The sequence below is a fragment of the Homo sapiens genome, chromosome 2 (genome assembly GCF_000001405.40).
Source record: "Homo sapiens chromosome 2, GRCh38.p14 Primary Assembly".
NCBI classification, from domain to species: Eukaryota; Metazoa; Chordata; class Mammalia; order Primates; family Hominidae; genus Homo; species Homo sapiens.
Window position 1 is genome coordinate 144,134,058 of NC_000002.12, and position 22,635 is coordinate 144,156,692.

The window sequence follows — 22,635 nt, forward strand, 5'->3', positions numbered from 1 at the left end:
ACTCTTGATGGCAGAAAACAAAAAGTTTTCCGTGGGGAGCCACGGGGGCTGCCTTCTGTCCTATCAATCCACAAATTCTCGAATTACAAATCTGCTGTTGTTTTCTGACACATCTGCTTTGCAATGTAAAATAGTGTTTTTTTTTAATAAGAATTCTTCAAAAAGCCCTTAGGCGCCTCGCCTTTGTTTGCACAGCCTGGGAGTTTTCATTTAAAGTTTTCACACTGTTTTTAAAATTCCCTATTTCTGTTTCTAAATTAGTTAGGCAAAGTCCACAAACCTCTGTTTTGGGTTCTCATTTCAGCTACATAGAAATGATGAAGAGAAATGTGCAGAGAAATTTGTAAGGTTTTGATAAATGAGATTACCCCAAATGACCAACATCCTTTTTCCCTCTTCAATGTCAAAAATGTAGGAAGTAGGAAAGCAGAAATGCTCTTTATATAATCCCTATTCCAGGGATGTAAAATCTACTACAAATTGAGGAAATTCACAGGAAAAACCCACTGTTGTTTACTCTGTGGCAACTCTGACAATCCAATGTGGTGGGAAATAGGAACAGACAGTGAAATGATCGTGAAAATATATGAAATTCTGTTGTAGTGATCATAGCAAGGTTGACATTGGATATACTCTGTGACAACTAAGTTGGACCTGAAACCCAGATAAAGTATATATTTCTGAATCTAAAGTATATTTGCTTTAATTTACTCAAAATCTAAACTTAAACTCCTAAGGATATAGCATCCATTCATCTCCTCATTAAAAAATAAACAAGTGGGTGTTTTTTTAAGATCTCCACAGGAAACATAAACATTTGATCTTTTTATATTAATTATATGCAACCATAATGAAAAAAATTTTAACTTTTTCCATAATGGGACAGAGAAAGCAGACAATTGATAAATATATACAAATATCAGCCTGACAACCTGAGCATTTGTCTCGCTTCACGTTTAATCCAGCTGAATATGATTTGAAGAAGATGATACCCATTTTGATACACTCTATTCATGACTCCCTCATGGAATTCCTTGGGAGGAGTTGGTCTTTTTCAAGGATGAGAAATGCTACTTTGTAATTTGCTGTAAGTCTATAACACATTCTTATATGATCCAATTTGTTGGAAGTGAAGACAATCTACTGACATGAAAATCATGGATACTCCTTCAGTAGAGAATCTTGTAGGGGGACAGACGGAAGAAGTTGGATGCTGCGCAGATGCAGCCTGCTCCATCCTTAACATCTAATGTGATGGGCTGGGCACTGCCCTATAAGACATGTTTCATGCTATAAGCTAAGTTGTGAGGCAAGAGAGTTTGTATAAATGAGACATAACTTCAGAAATAAAATTAAAAAAAAGATGTTTTCTTACACATGAAATCACAGCCTGAGCCCACAGCTGTTTCTTTGAAGTATTCCTCCTATTCTGCTTCTTTAGGACCATTTTCATTTTTTCTATCAAAATTCTTTCTTAAAATTTCTCATTCCTGTTGATGTATCTTCTTTTTCAGAACTTCAACCTTTTAAAAATATGCTTTCAAAAGCCTTGAGCGCTTTCTCTTATAATGTTACCATGACATACTCACTTTCATTCAAATTTTCTGTCAGTTCATTTTTATAAATCATTTGTTCTTTACTGGTCAAAGTCAAGTACTAGAGACCAGAGTTTCTCTTTGTGAGACAGGTAGTTACAACAAAATTGTTAAGAGTTTGGGTTCTAAAACAGTATTAAAAAGTATCTGGTTTCCAGGTATACCTTTACTATCTATATGTGTGATCACTGGCAAAAAGTTACTTACGTTTTCTATGCCTGAGTTTCTTCAACAAGAAATGTCTTTCAGAGTTGTAAAGATATTAAATGATAAGATATGTATGATAAATGCATTTAGTACAATACAGAGCATAGAGTAATAATCAATAAGGGTTAGTTGTTATGGCTAGTTCTACCATCTAAAGATGACACTGTCAGAAAGCAAGATGTGAGGCCAGGCAAGGTGGCTCATGGTTGTAAACCCAGCACTTTGGGAGGTCAAGGTGGGCAGACTGCTTGAGCCCAGGAGTTGGAAACCAGCCTGGGCAACATGGTGAAACGCCATCTCTACAAAAAAATTAAAAAATTAGCTGGATGTGGAGATACCCACCTGCAGTCCCAGCTATCAGTAGGGTAAGATGGGAGAGTCACTTGAGCCCAGGAGGTCAAGGATGAAATGGGTCATGATCACATCATTGCACTCCAGCCTGGGCGACAGAGAGAGACCCTGTCAAAAGAGGGGAGGGGAGGGGAGCGGAGGGGAGGGAACAGAGAAAAGGAAAAGGAAAAGGAAAAGGAAAAGGAAAAGGAAAGGAAAGGAAAGGAAAGGAAAGGAAAGGAAAGGAAAAGAAAGGAAAGGAGAAAGGAGGAAGGAGAAAGGAGAAAAGAGAAAAGAGAAAGGAAAAGAGACGGGAAAGGAAGATGTAATTCTTCAGATGTTTGGATTTCATAAGACTGAGACTTGCAGAAAGGTCTGGATATTTAAAATTTCCCTACTTCTGCTAGGCCTTGCCTTTATGACAATTACATGACCTAAAGTATGAAAATATTGGCTTCCTTTAGCATCTAGTTTAGTAGGTTGCAAGATTACTCCCTTTTTTCTCTGCCTCTCCATCACATACTCAGCACCATGGAGTTCCACGGGAAATCTGTCTTCTTGAAACACACTGCAAAATTGCTTGACTTTTCAATCTAATCTATATCCTTTAACACAAAATAGTCTTTTGCAATACATTCCAGTAGTAATTCTCATCTCACCAAGTCTCAGGATCATATTTATCTTCTGGTATTAATATTACAAAATCTGTTTTGTTGACCACCAATCATCTTGCAGGCCTGGAAGCCTTCAGTATGGAAGGAGCCAGTGTTTGCAACCCAGCAGAAATGGGAAATTTGGTCAATGGCAAAGCTGTAATCAGGGAGATTTTAAAAAGATAGCTTAATAACATGTCTCCTGGTCACTGAAAACTGAAGGATATTACAACTGCACAAGAAAGGCTTTAGATGTTTATTGTCTTCCTTTAGGGGAACACAGCTCATGCACATCTTAAAGTAAGGTATAATGTTTAATTCCATTTGCTGTCATTTATAACTTCTGCCAAAAGTGGATTATGCATTTTCCTACATTCTTAAAATGAAACTTACTGATTACCATTTAATCTCTCTTAATAAATCACAGTCATCCTTTTGATGTACAAGCTGTACAATCATGGAGAAATGTCTGCAGGGGTTATTTGATGTGCAGAGTTGCCTGCCCTGCCATAGAATGGCTCCAGGCTGCTATGTTTCTTTTTTTTTTAACTTCCCATATATTTTTTTCAAAATGGTTTATCTCTCTCCTCCCCTGTTGTCAAGCTGTCAGTCAGCTGTCACTTTTTACTGCTGTCAGTGAGACTGCCTTTATCACACCCCCAATTTGATGCTGCTAATCTGCTGTCAGCTGAAAAATCAGATAATCAAGACTTCCGAAATTGCATTTACAATAAGTGGTGGGCTGAACACTGGATGAAGATTTTGAGATACCAGTTCTAGTTCCTGCTCTGCCTATATCTAGCTGTGTGATTACCAGAAGACATATAACTTCTCTGGGCCTTGGCGCCTTTATCCATAAAATAAGAAGAGGAGAGAGAGAAAGAGAGAGAGAGAGTACATGCGCGTCAGAGACAGACAGAGAGAGATCTCATCCAGACCTGAATCCTAAGTTTCTTTGGCTATGACAATACACATGAAACTTTTTTGTGACTTAATAGAATGCAGGGTGGATGCCACTGACCTTTTAATGGTCAAATTCAAGGACGCTTTTTAGTCATCACTTTACTTAACCTCGCTGCTGTGAATTCACTAATGATTATCTCCTTAGAACTCTCTCCCCTTTGTTCCACAGGATAATTATCTCAGTGTTGACCTCCTGACTCTTACTTTGTCTTCTCACTTCAATCTTGGGCTCTTCCTCCACCAACCCCTTAAGTGTCAAGAATGCCAAAGTGGCTCCAATGTTAAAAGGTCAGGATGATGATGAGGAACCCAGCAAAGGAGCCTGAGAAGCAGCAGTCTGTGTGAAAATCAGGGGACTATGTGCCCTAGACAACTGAAGAATGTGTCATGGTGTGTCAAATGCTGCTGCTATGGTAAATAAGATGTGGACTACGAACTGACCACAGGATTTAGAGGCAGTGGTGACCCTGACTAAAACTATTTCAGTGGAATAGTTTTAACTCAGAACAGGAGGAAGGAACTTAGAAGGAACAAGTATAAACAACTCTTTTAAGGTTTTGCTACTAAGAGAAGGAGAGAAATGAGGTAGTAGAAGGGGGAAGTGGAATAAGGAGAAAAAAAAATTTTAAGATGTAAGAAATAATTTTTTTATGTTAATAGAAATAATTCAGATAAAAGGAAAATAGGAATAATTCAGAAGAAAGGAAAATTGATGATGTAGAATAGACCAGAAAAAATTGTTAGGACAATAGTCCTTGAGTATGTGGGATGGATGAGTTCTGGAAAAGAAGTGTAGATGGGGCCTTACACAGAAGCAAGGTTGTTCATCCCCAGTAACAGGTGAGAAGATGGAGAATATGCACCCAGAAGAAGCACATAATTGGGTGGACCTGGTAGTATCAATAAATTAAAGTTGTCTTCTGATTGCTCCTATTTCCTCACTCATCAGCTGAGAATGAAGATAGAAGATTTGGTATTGGAGTGTTCTAAAAAAAGGAGAAGGCATAATTATCTAGAAGAAGGGAAATGCTTGCCAGGTAGTCAAAGGGCCCATCTGAATCTTATGAATCACACATTTAGAACATGCTAATAAGTATGACATGCTTTTCTCCAGTTATGTTTAGTCCATGATTATAGGAAGACAGTATATGAACAAATAGATTTAAACAGACGAGGGGTTTTGCCAATCAAATATGAAACAAAAGGTGTAAATGATTTGAGAGGATATGCAAGAGAGTAAACATAATGACGGAATAAGAAAGTTAAGCTGGACAAAGAAAGAGAAAATAGGACAAGAGTGAAATTAAGTTGGCTCAATCAATGGATGGTAGGGTCTGGTAAGGCCAAAGGATTGTTTGACTCAAGGTGATAAAGTAAATAAATAAAACCAATCTCCTTATTTATATTAGATTCAGCTTTTAGGAGAGTAGTTCTCTATTTTCATGTGTCGATTATAGGACTGTGAGAGGCAGAGGGAAGATAGTCCTCTATATTCAGATGCCAATAAATATGCTAGGTTATAAATTAATGGGAGCGGGGCGGGTAACAAGATAAAATAACCTTTTGTTGTGGGTCTACTGTATGCTAAGCACTATCCTAGGTACATGGTATACATTATTTCATTTAATCACTGCATCATCCCTATGAGATGGTTTAATCACAACCATTAACAAACTTAAGTGCAAGGTCATTCCACAAGTACAGATCACAGAACTAGTAAGTGGTGGTCAAAACTCAAATACATGTATACATGACTACGGCGTCTAAGAGCTTTCCCATCCCAAAATATTCAATACATATAATGAAATGTTTTCAAGAGAATACACTCTCATGCTACTATTTATCTGGTCATTGCGAGTGAGGCAGGAGATAAGTGAGGAAGGCAAGAGGTAGCAGTAGGTGCTGTGAGTCTAATATTAGCGAAACTGCTGAGGTGACAGACATGCTCTGAGTTTTAACAGATAGAAACTCTAAAAATCTTCATTTATTTTGTTGGAAATATGGCTTTTCTCCCCTCCCTAATTAATATCCATTATATTATATAGCGCAATGACTAATAATTTAACTGTATCTTCTGCTTTGTTTTCAGTTAAATTCATTTTTCCCATGACCAAATAATATTTGGATTGGGAGAAAGATACAAGCATTCAAAAATATTTTTTAATCACCTTGGTTATTTTGCCTTTGGAATTACTAAATACTTTTCAACATCTCAACAAAATAATACAGTTTTGAAACTGCAGGCGTTAGAATGATTGTCATTCATGCAAATAATCACTTACTTACACTATATGAGTTTGGGTTGCATAAAGCAAATTACCATTTGAAAATAATTCAAATAACATTCTAGGCTAAGACCTTGCTTATGAATGTTATCTTGGCCACAATATTTCTTAACCTTTTTCTATTTAGCTAGATTCCTTTATGGTAATATCATCCAAATTAATAAACTACTCAACTGCCACAGGTATATTAAACATATGATGTTGCAGAAATACATCGGATGTAAATGAATTTTAAAACATTTATTTAGAATTCTATAGCAGTAATAATTAAGAGGAGCTATAACCATCTACTCACTTAGAGATATACATTTTGCCTATATGTGATATTAAAAAAACTTAAAACGTCAAAATATAAGGTTCATATTTTGAAAAATTCAGATATATAACTGTTCTAGTTAATCACAGGCAAAGTATAACTATCACATTTTTCAAAAGTTGTAGTTCTCTCATCACACATAAGAAAACTATGTCTACAAATACATAGATAATATACGTAATTACATATATATTCTGAAAATTGCTTTGTGATCGTGGCTCCACTTAGCTTTATAGTTTTCAAAACAGCAAATAAATCATTAACTGTTTTTGACAAATGACCTGTAATGACAGGATGCTTGAATGGTAAGTAGAAATTGAAATCAGAAGTCATAAGGCCTAAATATTAATCCAGTCTGTGACAACGACAAGGTGAATACAAGCCAGTCTCTACTTCTCTGGGCCTCTGTTTTCTGCACTTTATATAAAGATTGGGCAAGATGGTCTAACTTAAATTTTATGATTCACTAACTTGATTTTGTATGGGGCAGATTTTTCTTCGATGAAATATTAACAAATAAGACACTCAAATAAATCAGCAATGGGGTGCAGATGAGGACTACCGTTTCTACAGCAAAATATGGGTGAACTCAGTAAGTGTAGAACACAGAAGTTAATGCTGACCTCTTGCATAGCATGTATGGATATTAAATCATTTCCTGCCTTCATTTCAGGGATGAGGAAGAAACAGCTGTTCCTGAACTCTTTTAAGAAAGCAGTCAGTAAAAAACAGCAGCGTCTCCTGCTAGTGTGAGTCCCACTGAAGTACACTTTCTGTTCACAAGGGAGAAATATTCCTAGTGGTAGTAAAAACAGTTTTGCTAGGTTTAATCAAAAGTGAAAAGGAATTCCAGAATGTTCCCTTTGAGCCACATCATCCATTGCTAATTCAAGGTGGGCCCAGCAGCAAGGGTAATAAAAAAAATGTCCTTAGTAACTAAGAAAGAGAAATGGCAATTAGGTACATTTGTAAACCAATATAGAAGACTTAACTCTTTATTAAGATAATATAAATAATTAAAAATAAAGAAAAAATAAAAGAAAATAGCATGAGAAATGAACTAATCCAAGCAGTGAGACTTAACATTGACTTATCTAGACCAGTTCTTATTGTATATATAAATCAATGGGCATAAGCTGAATGCAAAGGTTGAGAAATATGCTTGACAATGACTTCTGTAACAAAAAAAAAAAAAAGAAAGAAAGAAAGAAACAAAACACCGGGCTGCTTTGGCAAACAAATAAATAAAAGAAAAGAAAAGAAAAGAAGGACTCAATATCTGAACTAACTAGTGATGGGTTAGACACATGATGATTTAAAATCTTTGTAAATCACAGCATGGTGAGATAGAACTTAATTCTCTAACTAACCATACTTATGCTAAAAAGTTAAAACTGGCATGAAGAACATCAATTTTTATACATTTGAGGAATAATTTATGACACAATATTGAGAACAGAGTCAAACATACTGACCTGCTCACATCAGGAAACCTGATGGGAAAGTAAATAACTTGGCACTTGGGTCTGATGATGCTTTCCAGATCCTTGGGTCTGTGATCAGGAATCAGCTTCATAAATTTTCCCATGGAAGTGAGAAATGATTCCATATTAAAAACTGAGTTGAATACAACCACATCAGCCACCAGGCTGTAAAGGTAAAAGACAAATGCAAATGATGAGCCCAGACTCATTCAGAGTAATTTTTATCAACCTAAGACCTCTATGGATTAATCAGAGTTTATACTACACCTTAGGTTTGCAAAGAACTCTTCACTTCATATCAGTATCTACCAAAATGTCTCTAAGAGCTAAGTTGGTTTCATTAGTGTTATATCACAGGGAGTTGATTGGTGGCATCAGATTTGAAAGGCAACAGGGAAATAGAATGATTTAATGGGATCGCATGAGACTCCAAACCAAAGCATATTTTTCCACAATGCCAGGAACTTTCTATATTATCAACAACACTACGTACAGCAATTCCTTTTTCTTCGTGGCCCAGCTACCCATGTTGAATTTCTGTCAGTGATGTGCATCATTTTACACCATACTACCGAGAACAGAGCATCTGTCACACTTCTCACTAACTTCAAGAAGACTAATTCAGATAAAACTACTTTCATACTAAGGCACGATACCTTCGGCACTATTTGGTTAAAGTCTACTTCTTGCTGTAGCTTTTACTTCAAGAAACTGTGTTAAGTTTTTAAAAGTTCTGGGACTACACAGAAAGGATTATGGTATCCCAAAATAACTTGTTTCACTATCATATTATATTATATTGGGCTAGCCAGAGAAATAGAAGAAACTGGTAGAAATGCATCCGGAAATCCAGATCACTAGGTCCTAACTGATTACATAAAGGTACATATAAATTATAAAGCGCCGCAACACCATGATCTTCGAATTCAATGAAATAAATGTGGTAATACCAGTCCGCAACAACAATGGTTCAAACTTAAGATTTTTTAAATTTCACAATGGTGAAAATGTAATATATATTCAATTGAAACCATACTTCGAATACTGAATTTTGATCTTTTCCTGGGCTAATGGTATGTGCACAATATTCTCTCACGATGCTAGGCAGCAGCAGTGAGGCACAAATCTCAGTCAGCCACATGATCACAAGGGTAAACAACCAATACTCTACAGTGGCCTGTGCTGCCAGATGATTTTGCCCAACTGTAGGCTAATGTAAGTATTCTGAATATGTTGAAGGTAGGTTAGGCTAAGCTATGATGTCTGATAGGTTAGTTGTATTAAATGCATTTCAACTTATCATATTCTCAACTCACAATAATGGGTTTACCAGGCTGTAATCCTATCGTAAGTTGAGGAACATCTGTATACAAGATTAAAGGGATAAAGCAATTGGTTTTATTCCACCCTAAAAATGATAGATCAATACTACTGGAAAGAAGACATGTTATGTCCACAGGACTGCAGAACACCACAGAATAAGTAGAGCTTATAGAATAGGAATGCCGTAGCCAAACGTCAGTTTAGTTTAAGTCATATTTGCTGAGACAGCCAAATTTACTATTACAATGTTAATATCTAGCAGAATAAAAAATGAACAAAAAGAGTGTTGGCCTGCTACTTCCGTGCATCCCTTGAAAAAAACTGATTTTCTATACAAGTATTGTTTATTAGTTGCTACCTAGTGCAAATTTGGGGGGTGTGGGTGATTACAACACGAACAATACAAAGGAATGTCACAGAAGTGCTGACACAACACTAAGCAATAAGGAAGCTAATATAATAATATACCAAAAGTTGAAGGATGTTTTACAGCTAGTCTTGTTTTCACCATATGTCACATATTGTAATAGTGACCTACAGGTCATAATATATAGTTGTGACATGTGTTCATAAGTCAGAGGGTTAGTGAAATCACTGTTTAAGGTGAGTGCTTATGTCAGTCATCTTTAAAGTCCTTAACTGCCACACAGTCCAGAAAGAAATCTGACAGTGCCAAAAAAAGCAGAAGTCAGCAAGAAAACTAAAGAAACATTTGAGGAAGCAGGAGTCATACTTTTCAAAGAGAATCTGAACAGGACTGCCTTTTGACACTCTTATTTTTCCTCTGGACAACTGTGAACCATTTTTTCCCCATTAAGAAGCCAACTGATGATGAAGTACACTTCTCTCTCTCCAAGCTTGTCTATAAGTTTACCCTCTTGAGAAAAGCAATGCTGAAAAATCATGTACAAAACTTTTATAGTCTCATTCCCTATCAGCAAAAACAATGTTTTATGAAAGTGAGGAGGAATCGAGAGCTGAATTGTTTTTAGATAGCTTCCCTCAAACGGCATGTGACCCAATGACTTACATTCTTAAAAATCCAGTCTATGCTAAATTAAAGATCCAAGATAGTTTACAGAAATATCCTTTTTGGTACATTTCCTCCCTGATATGAGTGGATGTAACTTCCATTAACTTTAAAGCCACCCATAAAGGAAAAAATAGACTTAGTTTTTTTCCCAATGATTTCTCAGGGGTAATAAACACACTATCTGAGGAAAAGAATGATGCTAATTCAAGAAATCAAAAGAATATTACAAATGTTTTCCATATTGATAAAGCACAAAATGATTTTATTTTCATTTTTAAAACATATTTTCCTTCTCTGTTTCAATATAAAGTATTTTAATTTTATTATGAAATTTTAAAACGGCTGCTTTTTTTATGAGACATTTGACGTGAAGCAGTTGCACTCTATTTTGATAGCACTGCTACTTCACAATTGAAGCAGCTTGTAAAAATGATTGTAGGAAAACATTCACAAAATGCACACAACACAGAATTATTACTATATAGCCATTTTTCTATGTCAACTAAACTATGAAACATTCTTGCAAGAATTGCGGGTCTGTTCAAATACATCATCAAACCCAGTTGCTAATAGCTGTTAATAAAGATAAATAAAATGTACAAAATCACTGACAAACAGATTCCGTTTGACTGTTGCAGTTATGTGAATAGGATCCAATAGCAAAGCCATTTCAGAATTGTTATTAACTTCTTTCATTAACTAAGCTTCAGGAGATACACTTTGTCGAAGTAACAATAGAGGACCATCACCTTTAAAATGTCATGGTATTTTAAGGCTGTGCCATTTCAGAAGACTCAACGAAGGAAAAAAGAAAACACTACCTAAGGATTCATTGTCCATAGTCTTCTCTGTCTTACAATTTAAAAAAAAAAAAAAAAAAAAGGCGGGGGAGACAAAACCCCAAGTTGCTCCATTATGCTTTAATTTTTACTTCTCTGTAAAACTCTATTTTGATTTTAGCTGAATACAGTGATCGTGATTAATAAGTAAGAGTTGACTAACTGCACTTTCTAAATGCCTTAAGCAATAGATCATGAAATCAAGGGGTGAAGGTCCCTGCCAACCTTTTAATTCTATTTTGAATGTTGTGAAAAATAGATAATTAGCTCAACATATAATTAGATTGTTACATATATGTATTTTTATAAAATGATTAGTTGTGATCTTACATATACTGCAGAAGGAAGAATTGTTTAAATATTTGCACCTACCTTATGGTGTTTTAAAAAAAGGTGTACAATAGTAGGTCTCCAGATTTAAAACGTAACCACCTACAAAGAAAAAGGTAGCAAAGGGCCAAATATAATGATACAATCCATACCTACCATGAAAGAATTTGGTTGTATCCATATTGGAAATCCCTCTCCTGACATTTCTTGACAGGATATATCAACTGGTTCTCGTGAAAATACAGAATCTTTTTCAGTTTCCCAAGGTCAGGCCGAAGGGCAGCCAGTTCGGTCAGGTTAAGCACTGAACTTGCAAAGAGGGTCCTAGGAAACAAGAAAATTGGGGTTTACTGTCCCAAGTATGTTTGAAGGGATCATGCTTTGCTCTTCTCTCCTCTTTCCTCTTCCCACCCCAAGAAAAACACATCCCCTATAGGGACACATCAATAGTTGAGGCTTAATACCATGTAGCAGCATTCTAAGTTTTGATCTCTTAAAAAGCAGCTGCTTAGAACTATAAAGTCCCCGAATCTCACTGGTCTTCTCAGTGCAGTTACTGAGAAATGTTAAAAAAAAAAAAAAAAAAAAAAAAAAAAAAAAAAAGCCGGATGGATTTTATTGAAAAAGGCAAGAAAAGCTCTATCTGAAGGACAAATGGAACAAAGATAAGACTGACTGCGGAATACTTTGCTTGCCAGTTTCATTACACTTTCCTTCTTTATGCAACCAACTACTGAAATTCAATGTATGAGCAGGAATGGCACATGTTCATGTTATGACATAAACTCTTTTGATTTATGCAATAGACTTATCTAGTATGGTCTTTTTCTCTTGGCATGTTTTCTTACCCTCCCCTCACTTGTAAAGTATCTTACAATACTTGTATTTTTAAAAACATCTTTTCTTCTCCATTACTGGACTGCTAATGGTACCAGATGCATCATCTGTAAAATCCCTTAAAAAGCACAAATATAAAAATTTTATGAAAGGCTGATTCCTCATTTTTAAGGGAAAAAGGGAAACTGAAAGCTTGCCTATCCATGTTTATAAATGAAAAAAGTGTCAATTTACTCTCTCATTCCACATACATTTACTAAATGCCTACTATGTGCCAGGGTCTAACCAGGAAGAACAGAAAAGATGAACAAGACAGCTCAGCAGGATAAATGCTGCCTGTAATAGAGACATACACAAAACATTAGAGAAACAAACAGAAAGCAATACTAATTGTCTGGGACAACCTGGAAATGTTTCCCTAATAAGGTGCCTATTACATACGGACACAAAAGAGGGACAAAGTACAGGACTTGAGCAGCTGAGGACATTTAGATGACACAATTTTGATAGAATGCCACCTTTATAACATAATGTAACATCATTTTACCTTTATGGCTTTAATTCCCTTTCTAAAAAATCAGGTTCAAGAAGGTTAAGAGTTTTTCTAGGATCACACTGGTAGAAAGTTGCAAAGCAGAGAGACTGCTGGTCTTCTAAGGGCTCAAACTGCTTTTCATTACACCACAGATATGAATTGGTTGCAGACCACTTACATTGCAAGTGCTTTTTTCTGTACTTAATAAATACAAAATATCATCCTTGTTATTACCATGATTACAACTACTATAAATCCTCCCTTGCTGACAAGCCAAATGGCTAACTTCAGGTGTTTATATGATCTGCCGCACTAGCCTTTCACATAAGAAGGATTACATAATAAGTGCATATATCACAAGTAGGAATTCAAGTGTCTTCTTCACGGGCTAAAAGAGGCACACAAGACCAAAAGCCAGCAATCCCTCTTCAAACCTACATTGCTATATTAATGTTATAATTTATCTCTTTAAGGTTAAAAAAAAAAAATCTTACCAAGGAGATGCACTTATTTTTTAAACCTGTCTGTCTATACCCAAATAAAAAAAAAATTATGACCAAACAATGCCCCATTTTGTCCAAACATATTCCCCACACCACTACCACATATAAGCCTCTCTAAAACTTACACTGAAAATTCTGAAACATGAAGATATTTGTTTACCTAAAAATCTGATCTTTAGCAGAGGAAACAACAAAATATTAATTTCAAACAATATTTTCCTTAAAAGGGAATACATGGCAACTTCTAGGTCTAGTTATTGCGTAATCCTCCTCTCCTTCTATTCTTTCTTACTATGCCCATCCCTGACCATACATACTATTGCAAGCAATGACGCCCATTCTTAATCATTATCACCTGGGCAAGCATAATGTTTTTCACACACAAGGCAGAAAAATGCATTAAAAGTAGCCTTCATATGAGTTATTAATTACAAAAAATATACCTTTTATGATGGGGAAATCTGGTAGAAACCAATGTAATCAAGTGATCAAACTTACTGTGACCAATAATGGGACAAAGTGATATTATGTATTTCCAAATGTGATACACTGAGAAAGATACAAATCATCAGTATAGTATTCCTGCCAAAAATGCCTAAGCTGAATTTGGTAAGGAATAACCAGACAAATATTCTGCAAAATAATTTGCTGGATCTCCAAAAATGTCATGTCATAAAAGAAAAAAATCTAGACTAAAGGAAATAAAGACACTCAAAACAAAATCCAGTATATGATCCTTTAGTGGACACTGGAAGGGAAAAGAACACCTATTAAGGACATTATTAGGACAATAGGAAAAATTTGAATATGGGCTAATTATAAGACTGCAAGTTTTTATCAATCTTTAATTTCTTAAATACAATAATTTTATTGCAGTTATGTAGGAGAATATTCCTATTGTTAGGAGATTCATGTCAAATTATTTAGATGTGAAATGCCATGATGTCTGCAATAAATTATTAAATAGTTCAGCCAAATGCTACTACTAATAATAAATATTAATATGTATATATTTACAGAGAGAGAAAAATAAAAAATGTGCAAACACATTAACAGTTGATTAATCTATGTGAACAGGTGTGTAGTAATTCATAGCTTCAGGGGATGGGGAGAGTCTATCAAACAGATTTCATGGAGCAAGGCATTGTCGTACTGCAAATTTTGGGTAAGTTATACATTTATAAAACTATACATTTGAAGTAACAGGCATTAAATGGCAGTAAGTAGAAGAAAAAATTCTATATTCCATAAACAATAAACCCATCATATCTGTATTTCTAGCCATATTCCAACTGTTAATTTCTACATGAGGATTATCCTCAGGGTGGACTATCTATAGCTAATGTTTAACCGAAAGGAGCCCTTCACTCTATTTCTACCACATGTCCCCCTACCCACCAGCTTATCCGTAACCAAAGAATTCAACCCTAAAGTTCAGCCTTCCAAAGAAAACCTCCCAAATAAAAGAAGGCAATATATTCATATGAGAAACAACAATAATTTTCATAATATTCCCCATTTGAGACTGCCCACGCCAACACTTCTTTCAGTTTGTTTAATCATTAAAAGAAAATTCACTGTATTTGTATAATTAATCTTGAAATAGCCCTCACTAGTTTTAAATAGTGGAAATTATCTCCATCATCTCTTTGCTTTTCTTGCTCGTAAAACGGTAAAGTGGTCAATAAGCAATTTCTCAAATATTTAGCTCAACAACACCCAAAAAGAAGTAATGAATATGCCCACAAAAGGAATGCAGGTGATCCATAGGCAATTTTTACTCTGCTCCCTACTATCAATTTTTAAAAATTGATAATAATACAATGAATGACATCACTTGATCAGCAGCTAATCCCTGGGCTACAAATGCTCATCCTGCCTCAGGTATTATTTAACCAATAAATCCTAACAAGGTGCATTTTATCATCCCACAGTGTGTCTCTAGCAGGAAAGGACACAAGGTGATAGCAAAAACCACTAGGAACAAGATAATTCCTGACAGCTGCTGCTTGAGCACAAGTTAAATTGAACAGTTTATCTCAGCATGAAGATGTTATAAGGTTTTATGTTTAATATTTTTAAATTAACATAAAACCCAGAGAAAGCAGTTGAGCAATCTTTCACAAACATGACATACTACAATCACTGTATAAGCTGGATTAGTACTTATTACCATGCTACTACAGAATTAAGCTGTTTTTAGACCACCAAAGAGCTTTAAATTGCAACTTTTGTCTCTGTAAGAGAAACCTATATTTAAAATGTCTGCTAAATTCAAATTAACAGCTACATCATTAGCTTACCATTTCACCAAAAGTACAAGTAAGCTGCTACTATAATCATCTAACCAAAACGGCTCTATGCTGCAAGCACATTAACACCATTCCATGTATTTGGGAAAAGGACCTGTACACGTTTCGATTGTTTCCAATACACATTGTATCTACATTTCAAGTCATATATGTTTAAAGAATCCGAAACAGTTAAACACAATGAAATTCGAGATTAAAGATTTTATTATTTTCTGCTCAATTTAAATAAATCAGTTGTTTGCCTTTTACCCTATTTACTTAATATGTAAAAAGAAAAGCTGAAATATACCTAAGGGCAGTAGTAGTGTGACCATTACCATTAAGATGCACACTTTTATATCTTAAATGGTACAGAAGGGAAGTGAAATGAGTAACAGAAGGCAGGCATTCAATATTCCAGCCACTGCCCATACATTTTAGTAATGATTCTTCATGGGCTAGGTCACCTCACTCTTGCCCCATGAAATCTTTTCAGTAGGCCCCTCTCCTCTCCTGAAGCTATTTATGACATAATGAGATAGTGTATACAATTTAACACAGACACCAGTTTGGGCTGTGTTACCACTCATACACAATTTCTTGCATGGCTTCAGGAGGCCTTTGACAAAAGAGTAAATTCTTCTAGCTGTGTCACTTTGCTCAATACCTAAACTCCTGGTCTAGATTCATGTTGCTAAGACTCATTACCTAAGCCTTGGTTCTTTTCTTCCCTCTCATGCATTCCTGTTCCTTGATATCTACTCTCTAGGATCCTGTATTTTCTGTGATGCAGTATTTTCTATGATGATGAAAATGTTCTATATCTGTACTGTCCACATATGACTAGCTACATATGGCTATCGAGCACTTGAAATGTAGCTAGTACTCCTGAGGAACTAACTTTTAAATTTAATTTGATTAAATTTAAATTTAAATCGACTAGCCATATGTGGTTAGTGGCTACTGTATTGGAAAGCACAGTTCTGGATGAACCAGCTTTCCCTAACCTGACACCCATGTTTCCTGAATACAATTACCTGCTTAACTGATTTTCCTGAACAGACCCTTGACCCGCTTGTGATAACCTAATTTCCATGTTCCTCCTGCCTAGATGAATTTCACCTACCCAGCTCTCCAGTTCTGGAATGGCATTATTTTTTCTTTTCCTTCTGAGAATTAGAAAATACACATTCACTATGGAAAATGTTTTAAGCACAAAAAATACAAATAAAGTGAATATCACCCATAACTATTCCAAAGAGAGATAGCTACTATTTGCATTTTGGTGCTCTAAGCATGTGCTGAGCACCTATTATTTGCAAGGCACTATGCTAAATTACAGACATAAAATGGAAAACAAAGTAGCTGAGGCAAGAAGAAGAATGACAGGTTGAGGAACTGAACGAAGACCAAGGAGGTTGGAGCCAATGGGAGAGTGGCCAAAAATAAGGGTGAAGATTCAAAGGTAAGACATGAAAATAATCTTGGTTTTGTGGTAAGAACAATAGGAAGAGCTGGAAGGATTTTAAGCAGGGAAGTGACAAAATCTTATATGTACATTAGGTATATTTTATTTTATTCTTTCCACTTTGTAACAGAAATACATTATTGCATACTTTCATTTCTTGCTTTTAACACCATGTTGTTTTGCCATGTTAAAAATTATTTCTAAAAGGTATGATTTTTTATTACGCTTCATGATATGGTAAGTCATAATATCTCCAACTAGGGCATGATTTTTATACTCATGTCCATAAAGTTTTGAAATCTTCTCTGTATTAATCTCTTATATTTCTTTTGTTTATGTAATTCATGCATATTTAAATTACTTTTTAATACCAGAAAACTTTACTCTGACTACCATATGGAAAGCAGACTGCAAGGAGTCATGAGTGGAAGAAGACAGCAAGAAGAAAAAAAATGACACTGTCTTGGGCTAAGATGCTAATATTGTGAGAGTGTTACCAAGTGGCCTGACTGGGTGTACTGATAACTGTCAGGGTTTGCTGATAAAACTGGATATGAGAAGCGAAAGAGAGGACAGCTATTGCTTTCTTCCCTTTATCACTTCCAAAGCACCTTGACAGAGTTTTAATTACAACAGAAACTCAATGATACATACACACATAAATGAAAATTACTCCCAAGCATTTCAAAAGTCTTTGGTTTCAACATATTTTTTAATTCATAAAACTTGTGTAGAGAGATAACTGAGTTCTAATATTCATTAATCATCAATATACAAAATTCATTTTAACACAATTTGCTTTAGTTGTCAGCTACTTAATCTTAATTGGACCATTTCTACTGCATGTTTAAATGCTATGGATATTCAAAAACTTACAAGAACACTGCCTAACAAAATGTTTCCCTTTGCTGAAACAATTAAAAATACAAGATGGAAGTCTTATCTGAAGGAAAAGGAAACACAGTCATTTAATCTCCCAGGTTCTTGTGGTGGTAATTTACAGGCTGTTTATAAATAGAGTAGCCAGTTTCCCAAAAGCTGTCTCATCATGTGGCATCAATCGGACAGTTTTACTTTCTTCCATCATGTAATTTTCCTTTCCTGTGCTTATCACGATGGCCAGGAGAGCACTGTATACAAAAAAGCACTATATACAGAACACCTGTCAAGAAGGTAGGGAATCAAAGACTGTAGGCACAACCTGCCACTGAGCAGTATCTCCAACATAAGGCTGTTTTCTTAACATCTATCCTTGCTGCCATCATCAGCACTCTGAACTGTCTTACGGATGTTTAAGGAAACAAATTCCATAATGCCTATTGAGCTTCTTTAGCTAAAGGTGTCACTTAAATTCAGGTGTCTCTTAAATTATTCCTGCAAACGCTGAGTCTTTTAACTCTTGGTATCTGGCACAGTGCTTAATCCATAAAAGACACTTTGTAATTATGTTTCTAACAAGAAAGGAAGATACAAGAAGAGAGGGTGAGCCTACTATTTTAAAAAATCTATAAATACATTGAAATTTTTATTGCATACATTTAAACATTTTTTCATGTATGTGTTTATTTCTTTTGGGACTGGAGTTCATTATTAAGAGTATTCTTACAAGGTCCAAGGTAATATGAACCAGAACATTTGTAGATATATCTGTTTTTAGACATTCTATCAATAAGTCAACAAATCAGAACACTGTAAAATCTTTTGACTTGGCAATTTAAGAAGTATAAGATATCACCCCGTTCTAAAAGAACTGACAATATAATTGGTGAAATAAGCCGTAAATACAGGAAACATTAAATAACAATAAAAAAGATAAGTAACTGCTCTCTCCTGCACAAGAAATGTCACAAAGCAGTGTGAGATTGATTACGAATGAAGGCAGAGGCACTAAGTGCTATGGCCACTCAGTGGAAGAAAAGAGAACTAAGAGCAGTGAAAAACCAGGAAGTCTCAGAATTATCAGGGGTGGCAGAAGAGGCCCAGGTCCTGAGTTCTCGGGACTAAAAGGATCAGTGCTATTTGAATTAGTCAGAGAGGGCTAGCAGTTAGCGTTTGGAAAAAAATGAATAATCAGATAAAACTGAAACGGTGGCCCTCCTCAGACCCAGAAGTATCCAGATGCAGGATAAGAAGTTTGTACTTTATCTTTCAGCAATTTGGTGACTCACTGCATGTTCATTATTATACTAACAATCTTTTATTTTTTCTTATTCTTAATTAACTCAGTTTTTAATGCTTATTGGCCAAGAAAAAGATGGTTGTAAAGTGAGAAGATAAAGAAATAAATAAAGTACCACTATAAATCACTATTATTCTCAAAATAAGGAAGATTACTCTAAATATAACCAAATACAGAAGATATAAAACCAGTTCCTTTAGGCTGGGCACGGTGGCTCATGCCTGTAATCCCAGCACTCTGGGAGGCTGAGGCGGGCGGATCACGAGGTCAGGAGATCGAGACCATCTTGGCTAACACTAAAAATACGAAAAAATTTGCCAGGCATGGTGGCAGGTGCCTGTAGTCCCAGTTACTTGGGAGGCTGAGGCAGGAGAATGGCGTGAACCCAGGAGGCACAGCTTGCAGTGAGCCGAGATCGCACCACTGCACTCCAGCCTGGGCGACAGAGAGAGACTCCGTCTCAAAGAAAACAAAAACAAAAACAAAAACAAAACAGTTCATTTAAATCCATGGCTTTCCATGATCACTTTTTGATAATGGAATCCTTTAATCACCATAATATTGTAATGTTGATGGTAATATTTTAAAGGAAGATAGAAAACCACGTATCGTGCAAGGTTCTCTACACACATCACTACCACCACCCCTAAGAGATACGACTTATTATCCTCATTTTACTGGTTAAGAAATTAAAGCACAAGAGGTTTGGTTAAATGCTGAGACAACAGCAGTTACTAAGAGGTAAAGATGAGTTTCAAATTCAAGTTGATCTGGGCCTAAAGCCTCTACTTTTTCACTTACTCCACACTGATTTTGAATCATCTTAAGATTAGTATGTGACTCAGTGTTTTTGTGTTAATTGTACTTATTAGAATCTGTGTTGGAAATATAAAAGAATATAAGTGGTACAAAGAAGAACTATACAAAAGTGAATAGTTTTATTTCAACCCTTTATCCATCACATATTTACTGAGTGGCCAGACTGCTCTGGCTATACAAATTGTGGAGAGGTAATGACCATCAGTAAAGGCTTTCCTAAGGAGATGCACTCTAGGAAGCATCCTAAATAACATGCAGGAGCGAGCCTCCTGGAATAACAAGGAGGAGGTCAGGGCACTGGAATAGAGAGAGTGGCTAACATTAAGGGTGATGAAAGAAATGTCCGGCTTGGTTATTAAAAGTAAGAGGCTAAAGGTTTCTAGCTTACATAATCAGATAGTGATGGTGTAATACTCCTTAACACAAGAGGAAAAAAATCCTGGTTTGGAGGAGAAATAAAGAGACATGTTTTGCAAATACTGAATATAAGTAGAGTGCCCAGTAGGTAACTGAAGATTACAGATAATAGGGTAATGAGAGGAAATACACTGGAGAGTTGATTTAAATAAAGAACTTGCCTGATCACCAAATATGTTTGTTAAAAATGTGGGATCTAGTCTGTTATATAATTTTACATAACTATTCTATGTGGTTCTCCAATATTTAATATATTATCCCGTTTCTTCACACTGAAGTATATATTCCTTGATAAGATAAATTAGATCTGCTGTTCTTTTCTTTAGTATCCTAGAGTTTTCCTAACTTGGCAGCTATCACTCTGGATTTTAAAGTTCCATTAGGACAGGTCCTACATCTGTCTTATTCCCCATCCTAGCCACGTGCTTAACAAATATTTTCAAATAAGTGAATGAATAAATGGAGTGAATGGATCATTCATTCCCTCAACGACTGTGAGAAAATAAAACTGGTTAACTTTCCATTTATACAGAAGTGTTCAATACAATATTCACTCCTACCATTAAAACAAGCTGGGAAGCATCCATGCCCATGGGTGCTTACATTCCCCATGCCCCATGGATGTGAACACCCAACACGATTCTATGATGTGTTATTTGATGTCATTTTTTATTGAGCTCATTAGTTTTTCCTGGGGTCCCTAATAGTATTTCAGGCACTGTTCTCTGCTTCACCATCGTAAAGTATTCAAGACAGGATCCAAACAAAAGGAACTCAAGAGGAAAGGTAGATGTCAACCTGGTACAAAGATCAGCAATGTACAATATCTTGATAATAATTTTTGTCACCTTCAGGGATTCATGATCATTAGCCTTGAAGAAGTAAGTCAATTAACATGCAAAGAGCATCTAACTTGCTGAGTGTGCTGGGAACACTTCATATGGTGTTTTATCACCATAAACTAATATAATTAGTATGTGAAATATTTATAATTCATCTCATGATTAATCTATCGTACAAGACTATTCCTTAAAAGCAGCATATCATTTTACATTGGAATGTTCTTTGCCCTTTATTTCATGCCACTCATGAGTCTCTGGAGTTCCCTTCTAAATACTATAAAGTTTGAAGACTGGAGACCCAAGGTAATGGATGTAAGTTCTATCATCACTGCAATCCGACCCTATCAGTGTAGTCTAAAATTATACACATTTAAGGACCTACTGACCAGTCAAGCCAGAGCACTATCCACAAGTAAATTCAGAAAACTCTCTTGAGGCGCAAGCCTGAGAAACAAACCACAGGCAAGTACAGAGTGGCTTTTGGACAGTATCATGATTTAGGCTTGAATATTATGACACTATAATAATTAAAGTAATCATGACAATAACAATAATAATATCTGCTTCGTGACAACTAAGCTGTTCCTGACAACCATGAAAAAAAAAAAAGTATTTTGTGCCCAAATAACAAATAAGCTAACCAGGAAAAATATAGGGACTTGCTATTTCTACTGAGTCCTATCTACTGATAAAACTATCAAAATAAAATATATCCTAAATATTCAGTCTTTCAGTAATCAGTAATAACATCTAATTTTTTTGGTGCTTATGAGTATTTGCTTCAAGTTTGCTTCCCAGTTTGCTTTACTCTATTGAGTTACTCGTTTTATCATTTGATTTGTTATGCTTCTCATAGAAATTATGTCTGTGTTTTGATTATTCCTCCAATGTTTGTTTTGGCAAGTTCACGACAGTTCTTTGAAATCCTCCTTAAATTTGGTGCTTAATATACCATTTGGAGAAATACCTCCCCACAAATAACTTAGTATCCCCAATGTTTTGCTATTTAATTACAAGGGTACCACTGAATAATTAATTATAAACATCAAAACTAGCAAACTGTACTATGTACAGTAGGCATTCAAGAAATGTTTGAGAGAGAGTGAAATGTTTAATAATGTTGTACATCTGCAACAGAAAAAGAATCAAAGGTGAGTCTTAGGACTGAGTCCTGGTCCTTTATACACTTATTTTAAAGGTAAGACTTTTCACAAACACTGATTTGCTAAATCCTGTGTGTGAGAATTCTCATTTTAATATTAATTACCCCATATATCACAGAGGGGAAACATTTAAAAGCCACTTTTTTAAAGATCAAATGGAGTAAAACAAAAATTAAAAATTCTGTACACAGCTAAATTTAACAAACAAAAACATTGGTTTTCA

The 22,635-nt window shown here is 35.4% G+C and overlaps 1 protein-coding gene across 66 annotated transcripts in view; it reads right to left on the bottom strand.

Annotated features, from left to right (window-relative positions):
• QTMAN (queuosine-tRNA mannosyltransferase) overlaps positions 1–22,635 on the bottom strand; it is a 395,002-nt gene that overhangs the window by 195,990 nt on the left and 176,377 nt on the right. For 58 of the 66 annotated variants that reach the window (NR_164804.2, NR_164801.2, NR_164808.2 and 55 more), the window contains 2 exons: positions 11,515–11,682; positions 7,825–7,998 (listed from right to left, as the gene is read on the bottom strand). Coding sequence is in view for 51 of the 66 variants with exons in the window: in NM_001376325.2 (NP_001363254.1) it covers positions 7,825–7,998; positions 11,515–11,682 (342 nt within the window). In the remaining 15 variants the exon portion in view is untranslated. Of the gene's footprint in view, positions 1–2,144; positions 2,262–7,824; positions 7,999–11,510; positions 11,683–11,822; positions 11,841–22,635 lie in introns of those variants that run through there. The other 8 variants (NR_164799.2, NR_164807.2, NR_164802.2 and 5 more) reach the window with 3 other exon arrangements.